The 25460-nt window shown below is 39.5% G+C and overlaps 1 protein-coding gene across 12 annotated transcripts in view, besides 1 other annotated feature; it reads left to right on the top strand.

Annotated features, from left to right (window-relative positions):
• The window catches only part of DLG2 (discs large MAGUK scaffold protein 2), a 2173362-nt gene that overhangs the window by 121724 nt on the left and 2026178 nt on the right, over positions 1-25460 (top strand). The window lies entirely within an intron of this gene.
• Positions 22431-22725: a silencer, noted in NCBI's record as "tiled region #9338; K562 Repressive DNase unmatched - State 24:Quies". NCBI's record gives its function as "represses a minimal TATA promoter and a strong SV40 promoter by Sharpr-MPRA in K562 cells {active_cell/tissue: K562}" and the evidence as "EXISTENCE:reporter gene assay evidence [ECO:0000049][PMID:27701403]".

Below are 25460 nucleotides of genomic sequence, written 5' to 3'. Positions count from 1 at the left end.
ATTAACCACATAGTTGGAAGTAAAGCACTCCTCAGCAAATGTAAAAGAACAGAAATGATAACAAACTGTCTCTCAGACCACAGTGCAATCACATTAGAACTCAGGATTAAGAAACTTACTCAAAAATCACACAACTAGGCAGAAACTGAACAACTTGCTCCTGAATGATTACTGGGTACATAATGAAATAAAAGCAGAAATAAAGATGTCCTTTGAAACCAATGAGAACAAAGACACAACATACCAGAATATCTGGGACACATTTAAAGCAGTGTGTAGAGGGAAATTTATAGCACTAAATGCCCACTAGAGAAAGTAGGAAAGATCTAAAATTGAAACCCTAACACCACAATTAAAAGAACTGGTGAAACAAGAGCAAACACATTCAAAAGCTAGCAGAAGCCAAGAAATAACTAAGATCAGAGCAGAACTGAAGGAGACAGAGATACAAAAAACCCTTCAAAAAATCAATGAATCCAGGAGCTGGTTTTTTGAAAAGATCAACAAAATAGACCACTAGCCAGACTAATAAAGAAGAAAAGAGAGAAAAATCAAATAGACACAATAAAAAATGATAAAGGGGATATCACCACTGATCCCACAGAAATACAAACTACCATCAGAGAATACTATAAACACCTCTATGCAAATAAATTAGAAAATCTAGAAGAAATGGATAAATTCCTGGACACATACACCCTCCCAAGACTAAACCAGGAAGAAGTTAAATCCCTGAATAGACCAAAAACAGGTTCTGATATTGAAGCAGTAATTAATAGCCTACCAACCACAAAAAGTCCAGGACCAGATGGATTCACAGCTGGATTCTACCAGAGGTACAAGGAGGAGCTAGTACCATTCCTTCTGAAACTATTCCAATCAATTGAAAAAGCGGGAATCCTCCCTAACTCATTTCATGAGGCCAGCATCGTTCTGATACCAAAGCCTGGCAGAGACACAGCAAAAAAAGATAATTTTAGACCAATATCCCTGATGAACATCAATGCAAAAATCCTCAATAAAATACTGGCAAACCAAATCCAGCAGCACATCAGAAATCTTATCCACCACCATCAAGTCGGCTTCAGCTCTGGGATGCAAGGCTGGTTCAACATACGCAAATCAATAAATGTAATTCATCATATAAGCAGAACAAAGACAAAAACCACATAATTTTCTCAATAAATGCAGAAAAGCCTTTGACAAAATTCAACAGCCCTTCATGCTAAGAACTCTCAATAAACTAGATATTGATGGGACATATCTCAAAATAATAAGACCTCTTTATGACAAACCCACAGCCAATATCATACTAAATGGGCAAAAACTGGAAGCATTCTCTTTGAAAACTGGTGCAAGACAGGGATGCCCTCTCTCACCACTCCTATTCAACATAGTGTTGGAAGTTCTGGCCAGGGTAATCAGGCAGTAGAAAGAAATAAAGGGTATTCAATTAGGAAAAGAGGAAGTCAAATTGTTCCTGTTTGCAGATGACATGATTGTATATTTAGAAAACCCCATTGTCTCAGCCCAAAATCTCCTTAACCTGATAAGCAAATTCAGCAAAGTCTCAGGATACAAAATCAATGTGCAAAAATCACAAGCATTCCTGTACACCAATACACCAATAACAGACAAACAGAGAGCCAAATCATGAGTGAACTTCCATTCACAATTGCTTCAAAGAGAATAAAATACCTAGGAATCCAACTTACAAGGGATGTGAAGGATCTCTTCAAGGAGAACTACAAAGCACTGCTCAATGAAATAAAAGAGGATGAAACAAATGGAAGAACATTCCATGCTCATGGATAGGAAGAATCAATATTGTGAAAATGGCCATACTGTCCAAGGTAATTTATAGATTCAATGCCATCCCCATCAAGCTACCAATGACTTTCTTCACAGAATTGGAAAAAACTACCTTAAAGTTCATATGGAATCAAAAAAGAGCCTGCATTGCCAAGACAATCCTAAGGCAAAAGAACAAAGCTGGATGCACCACGCTACCTGACTTCAAACTATACTACAAGGCTGCAGTAACCAAAACAGCATGGTACTGTTACCAAAACAGAGATATAGACCAATGGAACAGAACAGAGTCCTCAGAAATAATACCACACATCTACAACCATCTGATATTTGATAAACCTGACAAAAACAAGAAATGGGGAAAGGTTTCCCTATTTAATAAATGGTGCTGGGAAAACTGGCTAGCCATATGTAGAAAGCTGAAACTGGATCCCTCCCTTACACCTTATACAAAAATTAATTCAAGATGGATTAAAGACTTAAATGTTAGACCTAAAACCATAAAAACCCTAGAAGAAAACCTAGGCAATACCATTCAGGACATAGGCATGGGCAAGGACTTCATGACTAAAACACCAAAAGCAATGGCAACAAAAGCCAAAATTGACAAATGGGATCTAATTAAACTAAAGAGCTTCTGCACAGCAAAAGAAACTACCATCAGAGTGAACAGGCAACCTACAGAATGGGAGAAAATTTTTGCAATCTACCCATCTGACAAAGAGCTAATATCCAGAATCTACAAAGAACTTAAACAAATTTACAAGGAAAAAATCAAACATCCCCCTCAAAAAGTGGGCGAAGTATATGAACAGACACTTCTCAAAAGAAGACATTTATGCAGCCAACAGACACATGACAAAATGCTCATCATCACTGTCCCTCCTCCTCCTCCTCCTCCTTCTTGAGACAGGGTCTCACTGTGTTGCCCAGGCTGGAGTACAGTGACATGATCATAGCTCACTGCAGCCTCAATCTCCAGGGCTCAAGTGATCCTCATGCCTCAGCCTCCTGAATAGCTGGGACTACAGGTGTGTGCCACCATGCCCAACTAATTTTTTGATTTTTAGTAGAAATAATGTCTTGCTGTGTTACCTGGCTCGGTCTTGAACTCCTGAACTCAATCTGTCCTCCCACCTTAGGCTCCCAAGGTGTTGGGATTACAGGCATGGGTCACCATTCCTGGTCTTTGTTTCTTTTCTTATAAAGCCACCAGTTCCACTCCCATGATAACCCATTAATCTATGAATAGGATTAATTCATTCATGAAGGCAGAACCTTCATTATCCAATCACCTTTTAAAAACCCTACTGTTCAATTCTGTCATATTGGAGATAAGTTTCAACTTACATTTTGGAGGGAACATTCAAACCATAGCACCCATCCTGGATACTTTGTGAATAGGTTATATGGGAAAACAGGGAGACTGGTTAGAAGTCAACTGCAATGGAAAAGGAAAGAGAATATAGTGACTCAGATCAAAGAGTTGAGAAGTGGCTGGATACTAAATATATATTGTCATTAGAATTTGTCGATGGCTCAAAGTAGGGGAGTAAGAAAAGAAGTGTCAAGAAAAGTATTTTCCTTCAGTCTTTTAAAACTTAACCTTAAAAAGCTTGAATGCAAAAAAGTATAAAATATAATGGTACAGTGTAATTACTATACAGTGTAATAATTAATCACCTCTGTAGGTATCCCTAAAATATATAGTTTAGTTTGCTTGTTTATGAATGTTATATAAATTGAATAATACTTTATGTATTCTTTTGGTTCTTTCTTCTTCATACGGGAGTATGCTTATGAGTTTCTTCTATATTGTAGGGAATAGTGTTAGTTTGTTCATTTTTTATTGGTATATATCATTCTATTGCAGGATTATGCTGTAATGTATCCATTGTAGAGTGTGTAGACATTTGGGTTGTTTCCAGCCTTTGCTATTAAAATCAATGCTGCTATGAACATCTTTATATGTGTATCCAGGTACACATGAGTTTTTCTAGAGTATATTTCTTTTTTAAAAATTTTACTTTAACTTCTGGAATACATGTGCAGAATGTGCGGGTTTGTTACATAGGTATATGTGTGCCATGGTGGTTTGCCGCACCTATCAACCCATCATCTAGGTTTTAAGCCCCACGTGCATTAGGTATTTGTCCTAATGCTCTCCCTCCCCTTGCCCCCAACCCGCCGACAGGCCTCAGTGTGTGATGTTCCCCTCCCTGTGTCCATGTGTTCCCATTGTTCAGCTCCAACTTATAAGTGAGAACATGCGGTGTTTGGTTTTCTCTTCCTATGTTAGTTTGCTGAGAATGATGGCTTCCACCTTCATCCATGTCCCTGCAAAGGACATGAACTCATTCTTTTTATGGCTGCATAGTATTCCATGGTATATATGTGCCACATTTTTTTTCTTTTTATTATACTTTAAGTTCTGGGTTACATGTGCAGAACGTGCAGTTTTGTTACACAGGTATACACGTGTCGTGTCGTGGTGGTTTGCTGCACCCATCAACCCATCACCTACAGTAGGTATTTCTCCTAATGTTATCCCTCCCCTAGCCCACCACCCCACACAGGTCCTGGTGTGTGATGTTCCCCTCCCTGTCTCCATGTGTTCTCATTGTTCAACTCCCACTTATGAATGAAAACATGAGCTGTTTGGTTTTCTGATCTTGTGATAGTTTGCTGAGAATGATGGTTTCCAGCTTCATCCATGTCCCTGCAAAGGACATTAACTCATCCTTTTTTATGGCTGCATAGTATTCCATGGAGTATATGTGCCACATTTTCTTAATCCAGTCTATCATTGGTGGACATTGCGGTTGGTTCCAAGTCTTTGCTATTGTGAATAATGCCACAATAAACATACGTGTACATGTGTCTTTATCGTAGAATGATTTATAATCCTTTGGGTATATGCCTGGTAATCGGATTGATGGGTCAAATGGTATTTCTAGTTCTAGATCCTTACAGAATTGCCACACTGTCTTCCACAATGGTTGAACTAATTTATACTCCCACCAACAATGTAAAAGAGTTCCTATTTTTCACAACCTCTCCAGCATCTGTTGTTTCCTGACTTTTTAATGATCACCATTCTGACTGGTGTGAGATGGTATCTAATTGTGGTTTTGATTTGCATTTCTCTAATGACCAGAGATGATGAGCATTTTTTCATATGTCTGTTGGCTAGCTAAATGTCTTCTTTTGAGAAGTGTTTGTTCATATCCTTTGCCCATTTTTTGATGGGTTGTTTGCTTTTTTCTTATAAATTTGTTTAAGTTCTTTGTAGATTCTGGGTATTAGCCCTTTGTCAGATGGATAGATTGCAAAAATTTTCTCCCGTTCTGTAGGTTGCCTGTTCACTCTGATGATAGTTTCTTTTGCTGTGCAGAAGCTCTTTAGTTTAATTAGATCCCATTTGTCTAGTTTGGCTTTTGTTGCCATTGCTTTTGGTGTTTTAGACATGAAGCCTTTGCCCATGCCTATGTCCTGAATGGTATTTCACAGGTTTTCTTCTAGGATTTTTATGGTCCTAGGTCTTATGTTTAAGTCTTTGGTCCATGTTGAGTTGATTTTTGTATAAGGTGTAAGGAAGGGGTCCAGTTTCAGTTTTCTGCATATGGCTAGCCAGTTTTCCCAGCACCATTTATTAAATAGGGAATCTTTTCCCCATTGCTTGTTTTTGTCGGGTTTGTCAAAGATCAGGTGGTGGTAGATGTGTGTTGTTATTTCTGAGGCCTCTGTTCTATTCCATTGGTTTATATATATGTTTTGGTACCAGTACCATGCTGTTTTGTTTACTGTAGACTTGTAGTAAAGGTTGAAGTCAGGTAGTGTGATGCCTCCAGCTTTGTTCTTCCTGCCAAGGATTGTCTTGGCTATGGGAGCTCTTTTATGGTTGCATATGAAATTTAAAGTATTTTTTTCCAATTCTGTGAAGAAAGTCAGTGGTAACTTGATGGGGATAGCATGGAATCCATAAATTACTTTGGGCAGTAATGCCATTTGCACGATATTGATTCTTCCTATCCATGAGCGTGGAATGTTTTTGCATTTGTTTGTGTCCTCTCTTATTTCCTTGAGCAGTGGTTTGTAGTTCTCCTTGAAGAGGTCCTTCACATCTCTTATAAGTTGTATTCCTAAGTACTGTAGTCTCTTAGGAGCAATTGTGAATGGGAATTCACTCATGATTTGGCTGTTTGTCTGTTATTGGTGTAGAGGAATGCTTGTGATTTTACACTTTGATTTTGTAACTTTATTTATTTATTTATTTATTTTATTTTTATTTTTTTTATTATACTCTAAGTTTTAGGGTACATGTGCACATTGTGCAGGTTAGTTACATATGTATACATGTGCCATGCTGGTGCGCTGCACCCACTAATGTGTCATCTAGCATTAGGTATATCTCCCAATGCTATCCCTCCCCCCTCCCCCGACCCCACCACAGTCCCCAGAGTGTGATATTCCCCTTCCTGTGTCCATGTGATCTCATTGTTCAATTCCCACCTATGAGTGAGAATATGCGGTGTTTGGTTTTTTGTTCTTGCGATAGTTTACTGAGAATGATGATTTTGTAACTTTAGACTTTGCTGAAGTTGCTTATTAACTTAGGGAGATTTTGGGCTGAGACGATGGGGTTTTCTAGATATACAATCATGTCATCTGCAAAGGGAGACAATTTGACTTCCTCTCTTCCTATTTGAATACACTTTGTTTCTTTCACCTGCCTGATTGCCCTGGCCAGAATTCCAACACTGTGTTGAATAGGAGTGGTGAGAGAGGGCATCCTTGTCTTGTGCCAGTTTTCAAAGGGAATGCTTCTAGCTTTTGCCCATTCAGTGTGATATTTGCTATGGGTTCATCATAAATAGCTCTTATTATATTGAGATATGTTCCATTGATACCTAGTTTATTGGGAGATTTAAGCATGAAAGGCTGTTGAATTTTGTCAGAGGCCTTTTCTGCATCTATGGAGATAATCATGTGTTTTTTGTTCTTGGTTCTGTTTATGTGATGGATTACATTTATTGATTTGCATATGTTGAACTAGCCTTTCACCCCAGGGATGAAGCAGACGTGATCATGGTGGATAGGCTGTTTTTTGTGCTGCTGGATTTGGTTTGCCAGTATTTTATTGAGGATTTTCACGTCAATATTCATCAGGGTTATTGGTCTAAAATTATCTTTTTTTTGTTGTGTCTCTGCCAGGCTTTGGTATCAGGATGATGCTGGCCTCATGAAATGAGTTAGGGAGGATTCCCTCTTTTTCAATTGATTGGCATAGTTTCAGAAGGAATGGTACCAGTTCCTCTTTGTAACTCTGGTTGAATCTGGCTGTAAATCCATCTGGTCCTGGACTTTTTTTGGTTGGTAGGCTATTAATTATTGTTTCAATTTCAGAACCTATTATTGGTCTATTCAGAGATTAAACTTCTTCCTGGTTTAGTCCTGGGGGTTGTATTTATCCATGAATTTATCCATTTCTTCTAGATTTTCTAGTTTATTTGCATAGAAGTGTTTATAGTATTCTCTGATGGTAGTTTGTATTTCTGTGGGATCAGTGGTGATATCCCCTTTATCATTTTTTATTGCGTCTATTTGATTCTTCTCTCTTTCCTTCTTTATTAGTTTTGCTAGTGGTCTATTTTGTTTATCTTTTAAAAAAACCAGCTCCAGGATTCATTAATTTTTGGAAGGGGTTTTTTGTTTCTCTACTTCCTACAGTTCTGCTCTGATCTTAGTTGTTTCTTGCCTTCTGCTAGCTTTTGAATTTGTTTGCTCTTGCTTCTCTAGTTCTTTTAATTGTGATGTTTTAATTTTGATGTGTTGATTTTAGATCTCTTCAGCTTTCTCTTGTGGGCATTTAGTGCTATAAATTTCCCTCTACACACTGCTTTAAATGTGTCCCAGAGATTCTGGTACATGGTGTCCTTGTTCTCATTGGTTTCAAAGACCATCTTTATTTCTTAATTTCATTATTTACCCAGTAGTCATTCTGGAGCAGGTTGTTCAGTTTCCATGTAGTTGTGCAGATTTGAGCCAGTTTAGGATTAATTAGAACTTAATCCTGAGTTCTAATTTGATTGCACTGTGGTCTGAGAGACAGTTTGTTGTGATTCCTGTTTGTTTACATTCCTGAGGAGTGTTTTTACTTCCAATTATGTGGTCAATTTTAGAATAAGTGCGATGTGGTGCTGAGAAGAATGTATATTCTGTTGATTTGGGGTGGGGAGTTCTGTAGAAGTCTATTAGGTCTGCTTGGTGCAGAGGTGTGTTCAAGTCCTGGATATCCTTGTTAATTTTCTGTCTAGCTGATCTGTCTAATATTGACAATGGGGTGTTAAAGTCTCCCATTATTATTGTGTGGGAGTCTAAGTCTCTTTTTAGGTCTCTCAGGACTTGCTTTATGAATCTGGGTGCTCCTGTATTGGGTGCATATATATTTAGGATAGTTAGCTCTTCTTGTTGAATTGATACCTTTACCATTATGTAATGGCATTCTTTGTCTCTTTTGATCTTTGTTCGTTTAAAGTCTGTTTTATCAGAGACTAGGATTTCAATCCCTGCTTTTTTTTGCTTTCCATTTGCTTTGTAGATCTTCCTCCATCCCTTTATTTTGAGCCTGTGTGTGTATTTGCACATCAGATGAGTCTCCTGAATATAGCACACTGATGGTTCTTGACTCTTTATTTTATTTGCCAGTCTGTGTCTTTTAATTGGGGCATTTAGCCCATTTACATTTAAGGTTAATAATGTCATGTGTGAATTTGATCCTGTCATTATGATGGTAGCTGGTTATTTTGCCTGTTAATTGATGTGGTTTCTTCATAGCATCGATGGTCTTTACAATTTGGCATGCTTTTGCAGTGGCTGGTACCAGTTGTTCCTATCCATGTTTGGTGCTTCCTTCAGGAGCTCCTGTGAGGCAGACCTGGTGGTGACAAAATCTCTCAGCATTTGCTTGTCTGTAAAAGATTTTATTTCCCCTTCACTTATGAAGCTTAGTTTGGCTGGATATGAAATTCTGGATTGAAAATTCTTTTCTTTAAGAATGTTGAATATTGACTCCCTGTCTCTTTTGGCTTGTAGGGTTTCTGCCGAGAGATCAGCTTTTAGTCTGATGGGCTTCACTTTGTGGGTAACCTGACCTTTCTCTCTGGTTACCCTTAACATTTTTTTCCTTCATTTCAACCTTGGTGAAATTGACAATTTTGTGTCTTGGTGTTGCTCTTTTCAAGGAATATCTTTGTGGTGTTCTCTGTATTTCCTGAATTTGAATGTTGGCCTGACTTGCCAGGTTGGGGAAGTTCTCCTGGATAATATCCTGAAGAGTGTTTTCTAACTTGGTTCCATTCTCCCAGTCATTTTCCAGTACACCAGTCAACTGTAGATTTGGCCTGTTCACGTAGTTCCAGATTTCTTGGAGGCTTTGTTCTTTTCTTTTCACTCCTTTTTCTATAATCTTGTCTCCTTGTTTTTTTCAATGAGTTCATCTTCAATCACTGATATCCTTTCTTCTGCTTGATCAAATTGGCTATTGAAGTTTGTGTATGCTTCACTAAATTCTCGTACTGTGGTTTTCAGCTCCATCAGGTCATTTAAGTTCTTCTCTACACTGGCTATTCTAGTTAGCCATTCGTCTAACCTTTTTTCAAGGATTTAACTTCCTTGCGACGGGTTAGAACATGCTTCTTTAGCTCAGAGAAGTTTGTTATTAGTGACTTTCTGAAGCCTACTTCTGTCAACTCATCAAACTCATTCTCCATCTCATTTTGTTCCCTTGCTGGCGAGGAGTTGTTTTCCTTTGGAGGAGAAGAGGCATTCTGGTTTTTGGAATTTTCAGCCTTTCTGCTGTGGTTTCTCCCCGTCTTTGTGGTTTTATCTAGCTTTGGTCTTTAAAGTCAATGACTTTTGGCTGTAGTCTCTGAGTGGACGTCCTTTTTGTTGACGTTGATACTATTCCTTTCTGTTTGTTAGTTTTCCTTCTAACAGACAGGCCTCTCAGCTGCAGGTCTGTTGGAGTTTGATGGAGGTCTGCTCCAGACCCTGTTTGCCTGGGTATCACTGGTGGAGGTTGCAGAACAGCAAATATTGCTGCCTGATCCTTCCTCTGAGAGCTTCATCTGAGAGGGGCACGAGCGTGTATGAGGTGTCTGTTGGCCCCTACTGGGAGGTGTCTCCCAGTCAGGCTACATGGGGATCAGGGACCCACTTGAGGAAGCAGTCTGTCTGTTATTGGAGCTCATATGCCATGCTGGGAGAACCACTGGTCTTTTCAGAGCTGTCCAGCAGGGACGTTTAAGTATGGGGAAGCTGTTTGCTACCTTTTGTTCAGATATGCCCTGTCCCCAGAGGTGGAATCTAGAGAGGCAGAAGGTCTTGATGAGCTGCAGTGGGCTTCACCCAGTTTGAGCTTCCCTGCCACTTTGTTACATTGTGAGCATAAAACTGCCTACTCAAGCCTCAGCAATGGTGGATGCTCCTCCCTTTGCCAAGCTCCCGTGTCCCAGGTCAATCTCAGACTGCTGCACTAGCAGTGAGCAATGCTCCATGGGAGTGAGACCTGCTGAGCCAGGCACAGGAAGGGATCTTCTTGTCTGCTGATTGTGAAGACTGTGGGAAAAGTGCAGTATTTGGGCAGGAGTATACTGTTCCTCCAGGTACAGTAACTCATGGCTTCCCTTGGCTAGGAAAGGGAAATCCCCCAACCAGTTGCACTTCCTGTGTGATGTGACACCGTGCCCTGCTTTGGCTCGCCCTCTGTGGGCTGCACCCACTGTCCAACCAGTCCCAATGAGATGAATCAGGTACCTCAGCTGGAAATGCAGAAATCACGTGTCTTCTGCGTCGATCTCACTGGGAGCTGTAGAGCTGAGCTCTTCCTGTTTGGCCATCTTGGAAGCCAATCATGTGCCACATTTTCTTTATGCAGCCTATCACTGATGGGCATTTGGGTTCGTTCCAAATCTTTGCTGTTGTAAATAGTGCCACAATAAACATAAGTGTGCATGTCTTTATAATAGAATGATTTATAATACTTTGGGTATATACCCAGTAATGGAATTGCTGGGTCAAATGGTATTTCTGGTTCTAGATCCTTGAGGAATTGCCACATTGTCTTCCACAATGGTTAAACTAATTGATACTCCCACCAACAGTGTAAAAGCATTCCTATTTCTTCACATCCTCACCAGCATCTGTTGTTTCCTGAGTTTTTAATGATCACCATTCTAACTGGCATGAGATGGTATCTCATTGTGGTTTTGATTTGCATTTTTCTAATGACTAGTGATGATGAGCTTTTTTTCATGTTTGTTGGCTGCATAAATCTCTTCCTTTGAGAAGTGTCTATTCATATCTTTTGCCTACTTTTTGATGGGGTTGTTTGTTTTTTCTTTTAAATTTGTTTAAGTTCCTTGTAGAGTCTAGGTATTAGACCTTCATCAGATGGATAGATTTCAGAAATTTTCTCCCATTCTGTAGGTTGCCTGTTCACTTCTAGAGTATATTTCTAAGAGATGAATTGCTAGATTTTAGAGCATGTGATTCTTCTATTTAAGTAGGTATTGCCAGCTTTCAAAGTAGGTATACCAACTTAAACATTCAAGAGCAGTGATTTTATATTGTTCTACATTTTTGCCAAAACGTTTATTGTCAGTACTTTTGCCAATGTAGTGGATGAGTATTTGCTTATTTCTGTTTTAATTTCTATTATTTTAGTTATTAGTGAGGTTAATAATCTCTTTATATGTTCATTGGCCATTTGTATATTATTTTTGTAAAATATCTGTTTAAGTCTCTTGACCACTATTGTAACAGGTTGTCTTTTCCTTATTGATGTGTGGGACTTTGTTATAAAATCCATGAATGAGGCCTTTGTTGTTTGTTTAATGGGATAAATGTCTCATTTAGTAGCATGTTTTTCACTGTTTTTTTTATGGTATCACTTTTACTTCATGATTGTTGCTTTTTGTGTTTTCTTTTAAAAAAATATTCTACAATCTAATGTTATTTAATTATATCTTCTATGTTTCTTTGAAGAGCTTCATAATTTCTTCTTTCATATTTCGTCTTAACTTTCTTTTAAAGCCAAAACTCTTTATTGGTTTCTTTTGCAAATGTGCTTTTGAAATACTAATTTATCATTTTTATGAGATTCATTAATCTTTGGACTCTTTAAAGATAAAACACAGGGAAGGCATTTTCCAAGAGTATTTTATAAGCTTATGTAATATATAAAATGTATGTCAGCAGCATAATCCAGGAGACTGTCTTACTTTTAAGATTAAAAAAAAGCCACTCCAAATTTTAACATTGCTTACTTTCCTTTTTTTTAATCTTGTTTGTGTATGCTTTTTTATCTGAAGCAATTGATGAAATAAAGATAGTGGTTTTGTTTTTCCCAGTTACCACATCAACCAAGATTTTGGGCTGTAAATATATAACTAGACACACTGAGCTATTTTGTTCAGTAATTTTTTTAAGAACAATTCCTTTTCTTTTCTAAGGCTTTAATTATTTTCTACCTTGTTTGGAGCATGGGTAATTTACCAAAAATCAATACATGTTATAAAGGAAATTAAAGCAGAGTAAAATAAAAGACAGTAAGGTTTGCTGTGGTTCAAGTGATGGTGTTCCCTCCAACAGTCATGTTGAAACTTAATCCCCAATGCAACAGTATTAAAGATGTAATCTTTGGGAGGTAATTAAGTCATGAAGGCTCTGCCGTCACAAGTGGGATTAGTATCCTTATATAAGGGGTCAAGATTGAAGGAAGCACTCTGTTACCCTTCTTTCTCTCCTGTCATATGAAGACATGATTTTTCTTTCCTCCAGAGGATGCAGCAACAAGGGACTATCTTGGAAATATAGAGCAGCCCTCACTGAATGCCAATCCTACTGGTGCCTTCATCTTGGAATTCCCAGCCTCCAGAACTATGAGAAATAAATTTCTTTTTCTTTTTCTTTCTTTCCTTTCTTCTTTTCTTTTCTCTCCCTCTCTTCCCTCCCTTCCTTCCTCCCTCCTTCCCTCCTTTCCTTCCTCCCTCCTTCCCTCCCTCCCTCTCTCTTTCTCTGTCTCTCTTTCTCTCCCCCTCCCCTCTTCTCTCCTACCCTCCCCTCCTTTTCTCTCCCCTCTCCTCCCCTCCCCTTCTCTCCTCTCTGACATGGGATCTTGCTCTGTTGCCCAGGCTGCAGTGCAGGGGCACAATCATAGCTCGCTGCACCTCGAACTCCTGGGCTTAAGCAATTCTCCTGCCAAAATAACAACTCCCAAGTAGTTGTTATTACAGACACATGCCAGTGAACCCAGCTAAATTTCTATTGTTTATAAATTACGCAGTTCATGGTACTTTGTTCTAGCAAACAAGCATACTAAGGCAGCGTTATTTTGGATGAGGTCAAAGAAGTCCTCTTTAGAAGGTGACATTTAAGCAGAGACTTAGTGAAATGAGGAGTAAGGCTTGAAAAGATCTTGGAGAAAAGCAGAGAGAGCAGCAATTGCAAAGGCCATAAGATGGAAATGAGCAAGATAGTGTGGTTGGAGTATAGTGTAGTTGTAAGTTTATTCAGCTTCTACTTATTTGAAAATGCTTTCAAAAGCATTTAAAATCTGCTTGTTTTAATCTAATACATTGCACCTCATGTACTACTACCATATAAACCTTCCTGGGTACTTTAATCAACTCATCAGTACTCAGTTCATAAACCTCCTGATTACTAGTTGTTTCTGGTTATTTCAACATATTTTTACTTATAGTTAGCCTGCCAATATGACTCAGGAAAATTATTAACCATGGTTTTTAAAATAAAGCTCTTTTTTTTTTATAGCTTGGAGTATGATACTTAGCGCTAACTCCTTCAAAAGTCACTCCAACAAAAATCAGCATCTTCAGCTTGAAATGTCTGATGTTGTGACTTTTAATTTAGGGCATGTAAAGGCAACTTATTTTTTCTTTTTATACCTTAACAATATGATGTTTCTCCCTATCAACCGTCATTTGAGCTACTCATTATACCTCAGGTTCAGCTGCTAGAAGAAGTTCATTGTTTATCCTTTTAAGGTACCTCCCTAGGGACACTCCATGAATTTTAGTGTGCCATGTAACCTATATTTTAAGTCAGACCATCCCAAATATACCCTCCCAATTTGATGCTAATATATCCGGTTGCATTCATTTGACATAATAAAGGGAAGCAGACACTTAATTTTATTTGTATAAATCTATTTTCTGTACTTCTCCAAAAAGAATTTGAGATGATAAAAAGCAAAACAAAAATGTTAAATATAAATGGAATATTAATGTTAAAAGAAAACAGAAATACAGATGAGTGGGGTTACCTTAGTCATGACTATCTGATTTGAATGTGAAAGTTTACACTGCAGTTTTTTTTAGAAAACCATGGTATATCTAGACAGCTTCCTCTATATTAGTGGTTTGTTTTTTGTAGTTATATATAAAATGCAGATAAATGGCTTCATTGTAATTAATAGCAATTACAATTTTTTGATTGAGAAATGCAAATTTTATAGCTTGGTGCAGAAGTAATTGCGGTTTTTGCCATTAATGGCAAATTTTGCTGCAATTACTTTTGCACCAACCGAATACACATTTATTGTGTACATATTGTTTTGAAATATGCATATGTGGCATGGCTAAATTGAGCGAATTAACATGTATATTACTTCATATAGTTATCTTTTTTTGTAGTGACTACACTGAAAATTTGCTCTAAACAATTTTCAAGAATATATTACATTGTTAACTATTCTTACCATTGATTTATGTGTCTGGCTTTATGAGAGTATCTTGCTGTTTTGATATTCTAGCTTTGTAGTATATTTCAAAGTCAGGTTGTGTGATGCCTCTAGCTTTGATCATCTTGCTTAATATTGGTTTGGCTATTCAGGGCCTTTTGTAGTTTCACACGAATTTTACGATTTTTTTATTTCTGTGAAAATGTCATTAAAATTTTGACAGTGATTGCATTGTCTCTATAGATAGCTTTGTGTTGTATGGATATTTTAATAATACTAATACTTCCAATTCATGAACATAGGATATCTCTCTATTTATTTGTGACTTCCATTATTTCTTTAACCAGTGTTTTAGTTTTCAGTATACAGGTCTTTCACCTCCTTGGTTAAATTTATTTCTAAGTATTTTATTTTTTGTAGCTATTGTAAGTAGGTTTTAAATAAATTTCTTTTTTGGATAGTTTCTTGTTAGCATGTAGAAACAGTACTGATTTTCCTGTGTTGATTTTGTATCCTGCAACTTTATTTAATTAGAATAGTTTTTTTTGATGTGGTTAGTGTTTTTATTTGTAAGATCATGAAAATCTGCCAACAGGGACAATTTAACTTTTTTCTTTACAATTTGGGTGACTATTTCTTTCTCTTGCTTGATTGCTCTGGCTAGAACTTCCAGTACTATGTTGAAGAACAGGAGTGAAAGTGGTCATCCTTGTCTTGTTCCAGTTCTTAGAGGAAATGCTTTCATCTTTTTCCTATTCAGTATAATGTTAACTGTAGGTTTGTCACACATGGCCTTTGCTATTTTGAAGTATGCTTCTTCTATGCCTAATTCGAGAGTTTTTATCATGAAAGGATGCTGAATTTTATCAAATGCCTTTTCTATATCTATTGAAATGAACATATGGCTTTTGTCCTTTATTCTGTTTATATAAGGTATCACGTTTGTTGCATCTCTAGTATAAAATTCATTTGCATTTCTGTTATAAAACCCATTTGATCATAATGTATTATCTTCTTATTGTGTTGTTGGATTCAGTTTGCTAGTATTTTGTTGAGAGTTTTTATGTATATATTCATCAGGGATATTGGTCTATAGTTTTCTTTTTTGTTGTATCCTTGTCTGGTTTTGGTATCAGGATGGTACCGGCCTCATAGATTGAATTCGGGATAATTCTTCCCTTTTTGAATTTTTGAAAAGTTTCAGGAGGATTGGTATTAGTTTTTCTTTGTACTTTTGGTACAATTCATCTTTGTTGGAAGTTTTTTAAATTAGTGATTCAGTCTTGCTACTTGTTACTGGTTTGTTCAGGTTTTCTATTTTTTCCTGGTTGAATCTGGGGAGGTTGTATGATTTTAGAAATTTATCCATTTCCTCTAAGTTTTGAGCATATAGTTTGTGAGCATATAGTGCTTCATAATCATCTCTGATGATCTTTTGTATTTCTGTGGTATGACTGGTAATGTCTCCTTTTTCATTTCTGATTTTGTTTATTTGAGTTTTCTTTCTTTTTTTGTTGGTTATTCTAGCTCATGGTTTTTCAAGTTTGTTTTTCTTTTGAAAGAACAAATTTTTCATTTCATTGATTATATTATTAAGATTTTTTTGTCATTTAGTTCTGCTCTGATGTTTGTTATTTCATTTCTTCTTCTAGCTTTGGGTTTGGTTTGTTCTTGCTTTTCTAGTTCCTTGAACTAGTTGTTCAATCTAACTAGTTGTTAGATTGTTAAGTTGTAATTTTTCTACTTTCTACTATTTTTTCACTATTTTCTACAAAAATAGTGCTAACTTCCCTGTTAGCATTATTTTTGCTGTGTTCCACAGGGTTTGGTATGTTTGTGTTTTCATTTTCATTTGTTTCAAATATATTTATTTTTTGTTTTTCTTTAGAGAGAGGATTTTATTCTGTCACCCAGGCTGGAGTGCAGTGGCATGATTATAGCTTACTGCAGTCTCACATTCTTGGGCTTAATTGATCCTCTCACCTCAGCCTCCAGAGTAGCTAGGACTACAGGTACATACCACTGCACCTGGCTAATTTTTAAGTTTTTGTAGAGACAAGGATCTTGCTTTGTTGTCCAAGGTAGTCTTGAACTCCTGACTTCAAAAAATCCTTATAGCTTGGTCTCCCAAAGTGCTGCACCACACCTGGACAAGAAAAAAATATTTTTATTTTTATTTACTCATTTTTTGCATGTCCTTTCAAAGAAAAGTTGAAAACATTAAAAAAATTCCTTCATAATTTATTTGTTGACACAGTGATAATTTAGGAGCATGTTGTTTAATTTCCATGTGTTCGTATAGCTTCTGAAGTTTCTCTTGGTGTTGATTTCTAGTTTTATTCCACTATGATCTGAGAAGATACTTGATATGATTTTGATTTTCAAAAATATGATTTTTAAACATTTGTTGAGACTTAGTTTGTGGCCTAACATATGGTTCATCTTAGAGAACCTTCCATGTGCTGATGTAAAGAATGTGTATTCTGAAGTTGTTGAGTAAAATGTTCTGGTTTGGTCCCTTTTGTGTAAAGTCCAATTTCGGTTTCATGTTTTTTTGTTGATTTTCGGTCTCGATGATTTGTCTAGTGTTATCAGTGGGGGTGTTGAAGTCCCCACTATTATTGTTTTACTGTCCCTCTCTCTGTAGGTCTAATAATATTTGTTTTCTGAATCTGCGTGCTGCAGTGTTGGGTGCATATATATTTAGAATGATTATATCCTCTTGCTGAGTTGATACCTTTATTATTATATAGTGACATAATGTTTTTTCACTGTCCATGACCATTTTATCTGATGTAAGTGTAGCTATTCTTGCTTGTTTTTGGTTTTTGTTTGTGTGGAATATTCTTTTCTACCTCTTTACTTTTAGTCTATGTGTTTCTTTCTAGGTAAGATTGGGTTATTATAAGCAGTATATAGTTGGATGATTTTTTTCATGCATTTTTCCAATCTGTATCTCTTAAGTGGAGCCTGTAATTGTATATGTTCAAGGTTAATACTGATATATGAGCTTTTCTTTGTCATGTTGTTAATTTTTTCTGGTTGTTTTCTAAATTATTTATTTCTTTTTCCCTGTCATTGTGGTTTGGTAGAATTCTATAGTGGTATCATCTGATTCTTTTTTCTTCCTCTTTGGTGTGTTTAATTTACCAATGAGTTTTATACTTTGTGTTTTCTTGATGGTGAATGTTGTTCCATCACTTCCAAGTTTGGGACTTCATTGAACATTTCTTTTAGGGTTTGTATAGTGGTGATGAATTCTGTCATCATTTCCTTGTCTGGGAAAGACTTTATTTCTCCTTCATTTATGAACATTAATCTTGCTAGATATAGAATTATGGGCTTCCAGTTGTTTTCTTTCAGCACTTTGAATATGTCATTCCATTCTCTTCTGGCCCATAAGGCTTTGCTGGGAATACTCTTGTTTATTTAAAGGGGTTTCCTTTATAGGTAACTTGATACCTTTCTCTTGCTGATTTTAGAATTCAGTCTCTCAGTTTGAATTTAGACAGTGTATTGGTCCGTTTTCACACTGCTGATGAAGACATGCCTGAGACTGGGAAGAAAAAGAGGTTTAATTGGACTTAATTGGACTTACAGTTTCATATGGCTGGGGAGGCCTCAGAATCATGGCAGGAGGTAAAAGACACTTTTTGTTGTGGTTGTTGTTGTTGTTTTTTTTTTTTTAGACGCAGTCTCCCTGTGTCACCTAGGCTGGAGTGCAGTGGTGCGATCTCGGCTCACTGCAACCTCTGCCTCTTGGGTTCAAGCGATTCTCCTTCCTTAGCCTCCTGAATAGCTGGGACTATAGGTGCCTCACACTACACCCAGCTAATTTTTGTATTTTTAGTAGAGATGGGGTTTCACCACATTCACCAGACTGGTCTTAAACTCCTGACCTCGTGATCCGCCCACTTCAGCCTCCCAAAGTGTTGGGATCACAGGCGTGAGCCACTGCACCCAGCCAAAAGGCACTTCTTACATGTCAGTGTCAAGAGAAAAATGAGGAAGATGCAAAAGCAAAAATCCCTAATAAAACCATCAGATCTCATGAGACTTATTCACTACCACAAGAGCAGTATGGGGAAACCACCCTCATGATTCTAATTATCTCCCACTGGGTCCCTCCCACAGCACATGGGAATTATGGGAGTACAGTCCAAGATGAGATTTGGGTGGGGACACAGAGCCAAACCATATTAGACAGTCTGATTATAATGTGCCATGGCAAAATCTTCTTTGCATTGTTTTCCTGGGGATCACTGAGCCTCCTGTATCTGTATGTCTAAATGTCTTGCTAGACTTGGGAAATTTTCATCTATTATTTTTTCTAAGTCTTTTGATCTCTCTTCACCCTTGGAACTACCAATAATTTGTAAATTTTGTCATTTTATGTACTGCCAAACATCTTAAAGGCTTTTTTCTTTCTTATTTTTTTAAAAATTTTTGTCTGACTGGATTATTTCAAAATACCTGTCTTCAAGTTATGAAATTGTTTCTTCTGCTTGCTCTAGTCTATTTTTAAAACTTTTGAGTTTATTTTGTATTTTCTCCAATTAATTTTTCAGTTCCATAAGTTCTATTTGGTTCTTTTTAGAAATACCTATCTTTTTGGTAAAATTTTCATCATATCCTGAGGTTTTTTTTTTTTTTTAATTTTTTGGTATTATTTTGTAGAGTTTTCTTGTATCTCACTGAGCATCTTTAAAATCAGTATTTTGAATTCTTGATCTGGGATTTTGTGAATTTATTTTTGATTGTGATTTATTTCAGGGAATTGTTGTGTTCCTTTGATGGTATCATATTTCCTTGCTTTTTGCTGTTTTCTGTGCTCTTACATTCATGTCTACATATCTGGTGTAATAGTCACTTCTTCCAATTTTTCTGAAGTTGCTTTCATGGGGGAGGATTTTTCCTGAAGACATACAAGATATATATATATCTTGTATATACATTGTTGGCTGAATAGGAAGTTTTTGGCTTTGATTTTGGGGCCTGCAGCAAGTAGTGTGATCTCTGTTTTTTTTTTTTTAATCAGCACACAGGGTCAGTGGTATCTTGAACTTCTCGGTGGTTTAGGGTATGATTATTAGTGGAGATGTTGGTGAAGTTATGCATGGGACTAGGACACTAGTTGGACCATTGTTTAGGTCTTGGTGGTGGCAGTGGTGGTGTCTCTTTTAAGGCCCCAGAGCAGATTACTCTCGCACCTGTTAGTGGTCCTGGAGCGCCAATTCTTGGATCCCCAGGTGGCTTGCTTGGATGCTGGTAGTAGCAGGGGGGGCCAGGCTTGTGGGCAGGCACTCAGGCCCTGGGCAGCAGGTGTGATAAGGGTGATGGCAGTAGCAGTGGTAAAGCAACCTACTGGAATCCAAGTGATCCATACTGGTGTTGGTGGTGACTGCTATGGGTGGGCATTCCAGTCCCCTGGCCTGCTGGTACCATGTGTGTGTGGGTGTCAGCTGTGGTGGTATCAGTAGGTTGGGTCAGCCTGACCTCAAATCTTGGCAGGACTAATCAGGTGCCAATGGTGGTAGACTGGGCTAAAAAATTTCCAGGCTTCTGGATGGCATGCTCAAGTACTTGGGGGATAGGATTAGGCAAGTAGACTTGTTCACAGGCTCCCTGGTAGTGTGTTTAGGCACTGGCTGAAATAGGCAGAGGCAGGGTGATTTCCAGTGTACTGGTGGAATGTTCCCTGTGGGCTTTGGTGGCTGTGCTGTGGGCCTACCACCAGGAAGGATGAGGCCCCTCTCAGTTAGAGCATTGTGGGCAAGAAGCTTTGGGGAATGCATACTGCTCTTGCTCTGGTCTCACAGCAGCCCACACAGGGCAGTGGGAACTTTTCTAGGGGTCATGGGAGTGCCTGGTCTCCTCTTTCCCTTTTTGGACTGGCAGCTGCTGCAGCAGCAACAACCCTAGCCCAGCTCAAGGGTAGGGTGCAGACCTCCAGTGACTAAACTGTCAAAATGTCAGCTGTGGGCCTACCACCAGGGAAGGCTGGGCCCCTCTCAGATGGCGCACTGTGGGCAAGTAGACATGAGGAGTGAAGTCTACTCATTCTTTGGTTTCACAGTAGCCTCTAGCATGATGATGTGGACTATCCTAGTTGTCTGTGGGAGTGCCCAGTCTCCCCTTTCCCGTCCCAGCCTAGTGGTGGCAGCTGCACTGGCTGTGTCAGTCCTGCCTCAGGACAGGATGCAGATTCTAAGCAGCAAAGTTCTCAGGATGGCACCAAGAAGCAGCTGCTCAGGGCTCAGATACCTGTGGGACTCCATGTGGGTTCCCCGTCTGGAGCGACATCTTGGTACAGTCTCTAGTCTGTTCCTCATGTCAGGCCAAAGGTCTGTGGGCCAAGAGGTTCTCTCATAGCCAAGAATGCAAAAGCCTGCGGTGAGAGTGTAGAACCCTGGGGGTTTCTCTTTTACCCTTTCCCTGCATCCAGGAGCTTTTTCTGGCTCCCAGCTGATCCCCAGCCAAGAGAGCTGCCCCCTTCCCTCTCCTTACTCACATTCAGTACTTCTCATCACTTCTTTGTTGAATCTAAGTCTCTCTTAGATGATCTATTCAAAGTGTTTATTTACTATTCTGGTTCCTTTTCATGGAGGAGGTGTGTACTAGCTGCTTCTAATGAGTGATCCTGACCCATCCTTCCACATTTTAAATTTTTGATGTCACAATTTGCATCTTTTTTTTTTCTATTTGTTTATTTATTTATTGTTATTATACTTTAAGTTTTAGGGTACATGTGCACAATGTGCAGGTTAGTTACATATGTATACATGTGCCATGCTGGTGCGCTGCACCCACTAACTCGTCATCTAGCATTAGGTATATCTCCCAATGCTATCCCTCCCCCCTCTCCCCACCCCACAACAGTCCCCAGAGTGTGACATTCCCCTTCCTGTGTCCATGTGTTCTCATTGTTCAATTCCCACCTATGAGTGAGAACATGCAGTGTTTGGTTTTTTGTCCTTGCGATAGTTTGCTGAGAATGATGGTTTCCAGCTTCATCCATGTCCCTACAAAGGACATGAACTCATCATTTTTTATGGCTGCATAGTATTCCATGGTGTATGTGTGCCACATTTTCTTAATCCAGTCTATGATTGTCGGACATTTGGGTTGGTTCCAAGTCTTTGCTATTGTGAATAGTGCCACAATAAACATATGTGTGCATGTGTCTTTATAGCAGCATGATTTATAATCCTTTGGGTATATACCCAGTAATGGGATGGCTGGGTCAAATGGTATTTCTAGTTCTAGATCCCTGAGGAATCGCCACACTGACTTCCACAATGGTTGAACTAGTTTACAGTCCCACCAACAGTGTAAAAGTGTTCCTATTTCTCCACATCCTCTCCAGCACCTATTGTTTCCTGACTTTTTAATGATAGCCATTCTAACTGGCGTGAGGTGGTATCTCATTGTGGTTTTGATTTGCATTTCTCTGATGGCCAGTGATGGTGAGCATTTTTTCATGTGTTTTTTGGCTGCATAAATGTCTTCTTTTGAGAAGTGTCTGTTGATGTCCTTCGCCCACTTTTTGATGGGGTTGTTTGTTTTTTTCTTGTAAATTTGTTTGAGTTCATTGTAGATTCTGGATATTAGCCCTTTGTCAGATGAGTAGGTTGCGAATATTTTCTCCCATTTTGTAGGTTGCCTGTTCACTCTGATGGTAGTTTCTTTTGCTGTGCAGAAGCTCTTTAGTTTAATTAGATCCCATTTGTCAATTTTGGCTTTTGTTGCCATTGCTTTTGGTGTTTTAGACATGAAGTCTTTGCCCATGCCTATGTCCTGAATGGTAATGCCTAGGGAGGAGGAGGAGGGGCGGTGGGAGAGGGAGGGCGGGTGGAGGGGTCGGGAGGAACGGGGGGCGGGAAAGATCCGCCACCGGGTTGAATCCTCCGGGCGGACTGCGCGGACCTGACCCATTTACCTCTTAACGGTTTCACGCCCTCTTGTACTCTCTCTTCAAAGTTCTTTTCAACTTTCCCTTACGGTACTTGTTGACTATCGGTCTCGTGCCGGTATTTAGCCTTAAATGGAGTTTACCACCCGCTTTGGGCTGCATTCCCAAGCAACCCGACTCCTGGAAGACCCGGGCCAATTTGCATCTTTTTATATTGTATATACCTTAATAAAGTATTGTAGCTATTATTATTCTTTTTTTTTTTTTTTTGGCTCACTGCAACCTCTGCATCCTGGGTTCAAGTGATTCTCCTGCCTCAGCCTCCTGAGTAGCTGGGATTACAGGTGCCCTCCACCATGCCTGGCTAATTTTTGTATTTTTAGTAGAGACAGGGTTTCACCATGTTGGCCAGGCTGGTCTTGAACTCCTGACCTCAAGTGATCTACCTGCCTTGGCATCCCAAAGTTCTGGGATTATAGGTGTGAGCCACCACGCCTGGCCTATTATTCTTAATAGATTGTCTTTTAACCTTCATACTAAAGTTATAAGTGATTTACATATCACCATTGCAGTTAGAGTATTCTGGATTTGATTGTCTGCTTTCTTTTACCATTGAGTTTTATGCTTTTAGTTGTTTTTGCGTTACTTATTAATTAGCATCCTTTTCTTTTAGGTTGAATACTCCCTCTAGCATCTCTTGTAAGATAGGGCTGTTGGTGATAAACTCCCTTAGCTTTTGTTTGTCTGTGAAAGTCTTTATTTCTCTTTCATTTCTGAAAAACAGCTTTGCTAGATACAGTATTCTTAGTTGGCACATTTTTTAAAAAAAATTTTTTACACTTCAGCACTTTGAATACATCATCTCACTCTCTCTTGGCCTGTAACGTCCCTGCTGAGAAATTTGTTGCTAGCCTTATTGGAACTTATTCATATATGGTTTGCTTATTTTCTCTCACTAATAAGGATCCTCGTGCTAATTTTCTCTTGCTAATAGGATCCTCTCTTTGTCCTTGATTTTTGACATATTGTCATTTTGTAGTCTTGTTTGGGTTGAATCTGACTGGAGGCCTGTATCTGTTCCTCTACTTGGATATTTATATCTTTCTCCAAATTTGAAAAGTTTTCTGCTACGCTTTGTCTTTCTCTTTCTTTTCTCCTTTATGAAATCTTATATATCAGAGAGATATATGTATATTTTCCTATATATCAGATATCTTATATAGCAGATATATATCAAATATTTCCTGGGTCCACAAAGGCTATCATGGAACCTGGGTCAGAAGGGGTGGTCTTGGAGCCTTAGTCTGTAAGGTCTAGACTGGGACTGGGGGTGGACCATGGGTCTGCTGGAACAGGTCTGGACTCTGGGTTTTCTAGAGTCTGGGCCACTGGGACCAGCCTGGAGCCTGGGGTTAGCCTGATGCTGGGGTCCATGTGGAGCCTGGGTCTGTGGGCACTGGTTTGGAGCTTAGGATCACAAGTACTTGCCTGATACCTGGGACCATTAGGCTGGCCTGGAGCCTGGGATCTTTGGGTCTGGAGCCTGTGCCTGCTGGTATTGCCTTAGAGGCACAGGTCTAGGACCTGGCCTAGGGATTGGATCCATAAAGCCTAGCCTGGGTCTTGGGACAAGGAACCAGATTGAGTAGTAGGTACACAGAGGTGGTCCTAGAGCCTGGGTTCGTGGGGACTGGTTCTTCTGGGGTCTCCTGGACTCTGGGTTACTGTAGCATCATTGGACCATAGGATCTGGCCTTGAGCATGGGACCATGGGGACTGGCCTTGCACTGGGAAGGCCTGGAGCTTAGGTCTTGGTGCCTGCCTGCTGTTTAAGGCCAGGGGAGCCAAGCTGGCATTGGGGTGGGATAGAAGCCTGGGGCCATAGGAGCTAGCTTGGACTGGGTGGAGCCTGGATCCTATATTCACAGAGGTCTTCCTGGAGGCAAGGTCCATGGGTTCTGGCCTGGTCATTAAGGCTGCAGGAGTTGGCCTGATGGTCAAGTGGGCCTGAAGCTTGGGACTTTGGCATCCAGCTTGGTGCTAGGGGTGGTCTGCAGCCTGGGGCCACAGGGGCTGGCCTGGCCTTGGGGTTGGTCTGGAGCCTGATTCTGCAGGTCATGTCTTCTGCTGGGTCTGATCTGGAGCTTGGGGCCTCTGGGCTTAGCCTTGTGCTGTGGCAGGCTTGGAGCTCAAATTTGCTCTGTAGACCTGGACCCTGGGGCTGCAGGATCCTATATAGTGTTGGGGCAGGTTTGGAAGCTCAGTCTGCGGGTAGCAGCCAGGAGTCTGGGGCTGCAGGGGGCTGGTCTGGCACTGGACAAGCCTGGAGTCTCCATCCACAGTGGCTGGCCTGGGGGCTGGGTCCATAGGTTCTGGCCCAATGACTAGGACTATGTGGGTTTGGCCTGGTACTGGGGCAGGCCTGAAGCCTGTGGCTGTGAGGGCTAGCCTGATGCTGGGGGCAGTCTACAGACTGGGGCCACTGGGGTCAGCCTGGTCATGGGGCAGCCTGGATACTTAATTTGCTATACAGACCTGGAGTTTGGGGCTGTTGGGGGTCTTCCTGGTGCTAGGCTTTATTGGGGGTGGGCCTAGCTTTGGAATCTGAGGCAAAGTCTTGTACTCACTGCCCTCTCCTTCTCTCAAGTGGAAGGTATCTCTCCCTGTGCTGCCTGGAGTTGGGTGAAATGGGTAATGTAAAGCTGTTCTTTCTACCCTCTTCCATGCATGTTTTCTTATTTTGGTGCTGTACCCAGGTGCTGTAATCTCTTGGTTTCCTTACCTATTGTGAAAGTATTTTTGTGCATGGACAATTGTTCAAATTGATGTTTCTGTGGGAGAGACAAGCATTAGAGAGCCCTATTCTGCCATCTTGCTGATACTCAATAACACTTTTATCTTAATTTCTACTGTACTGATCAAATACCATTCTACCCGTACAGGTGCCATTTGAGCACGTTATGTGTAGATACC

This window comes from Homo sapiens, chromosome 11 (assembly GCF_000001405.40).
Source record: "Homo sapiens chromosome 11, GRCh38.p14 Primary Assembly".
Classification (NCBI taxonomy): Eukaryota; Metazoa; Chordata; class Mammalia; order Primates; family Hominidae; genus Homo; species Homo sapiens.
Note: the sequence above shows the minus strand (reverse complement) of the source record. Positions and strands in the feature narration are given on the sequence as shown.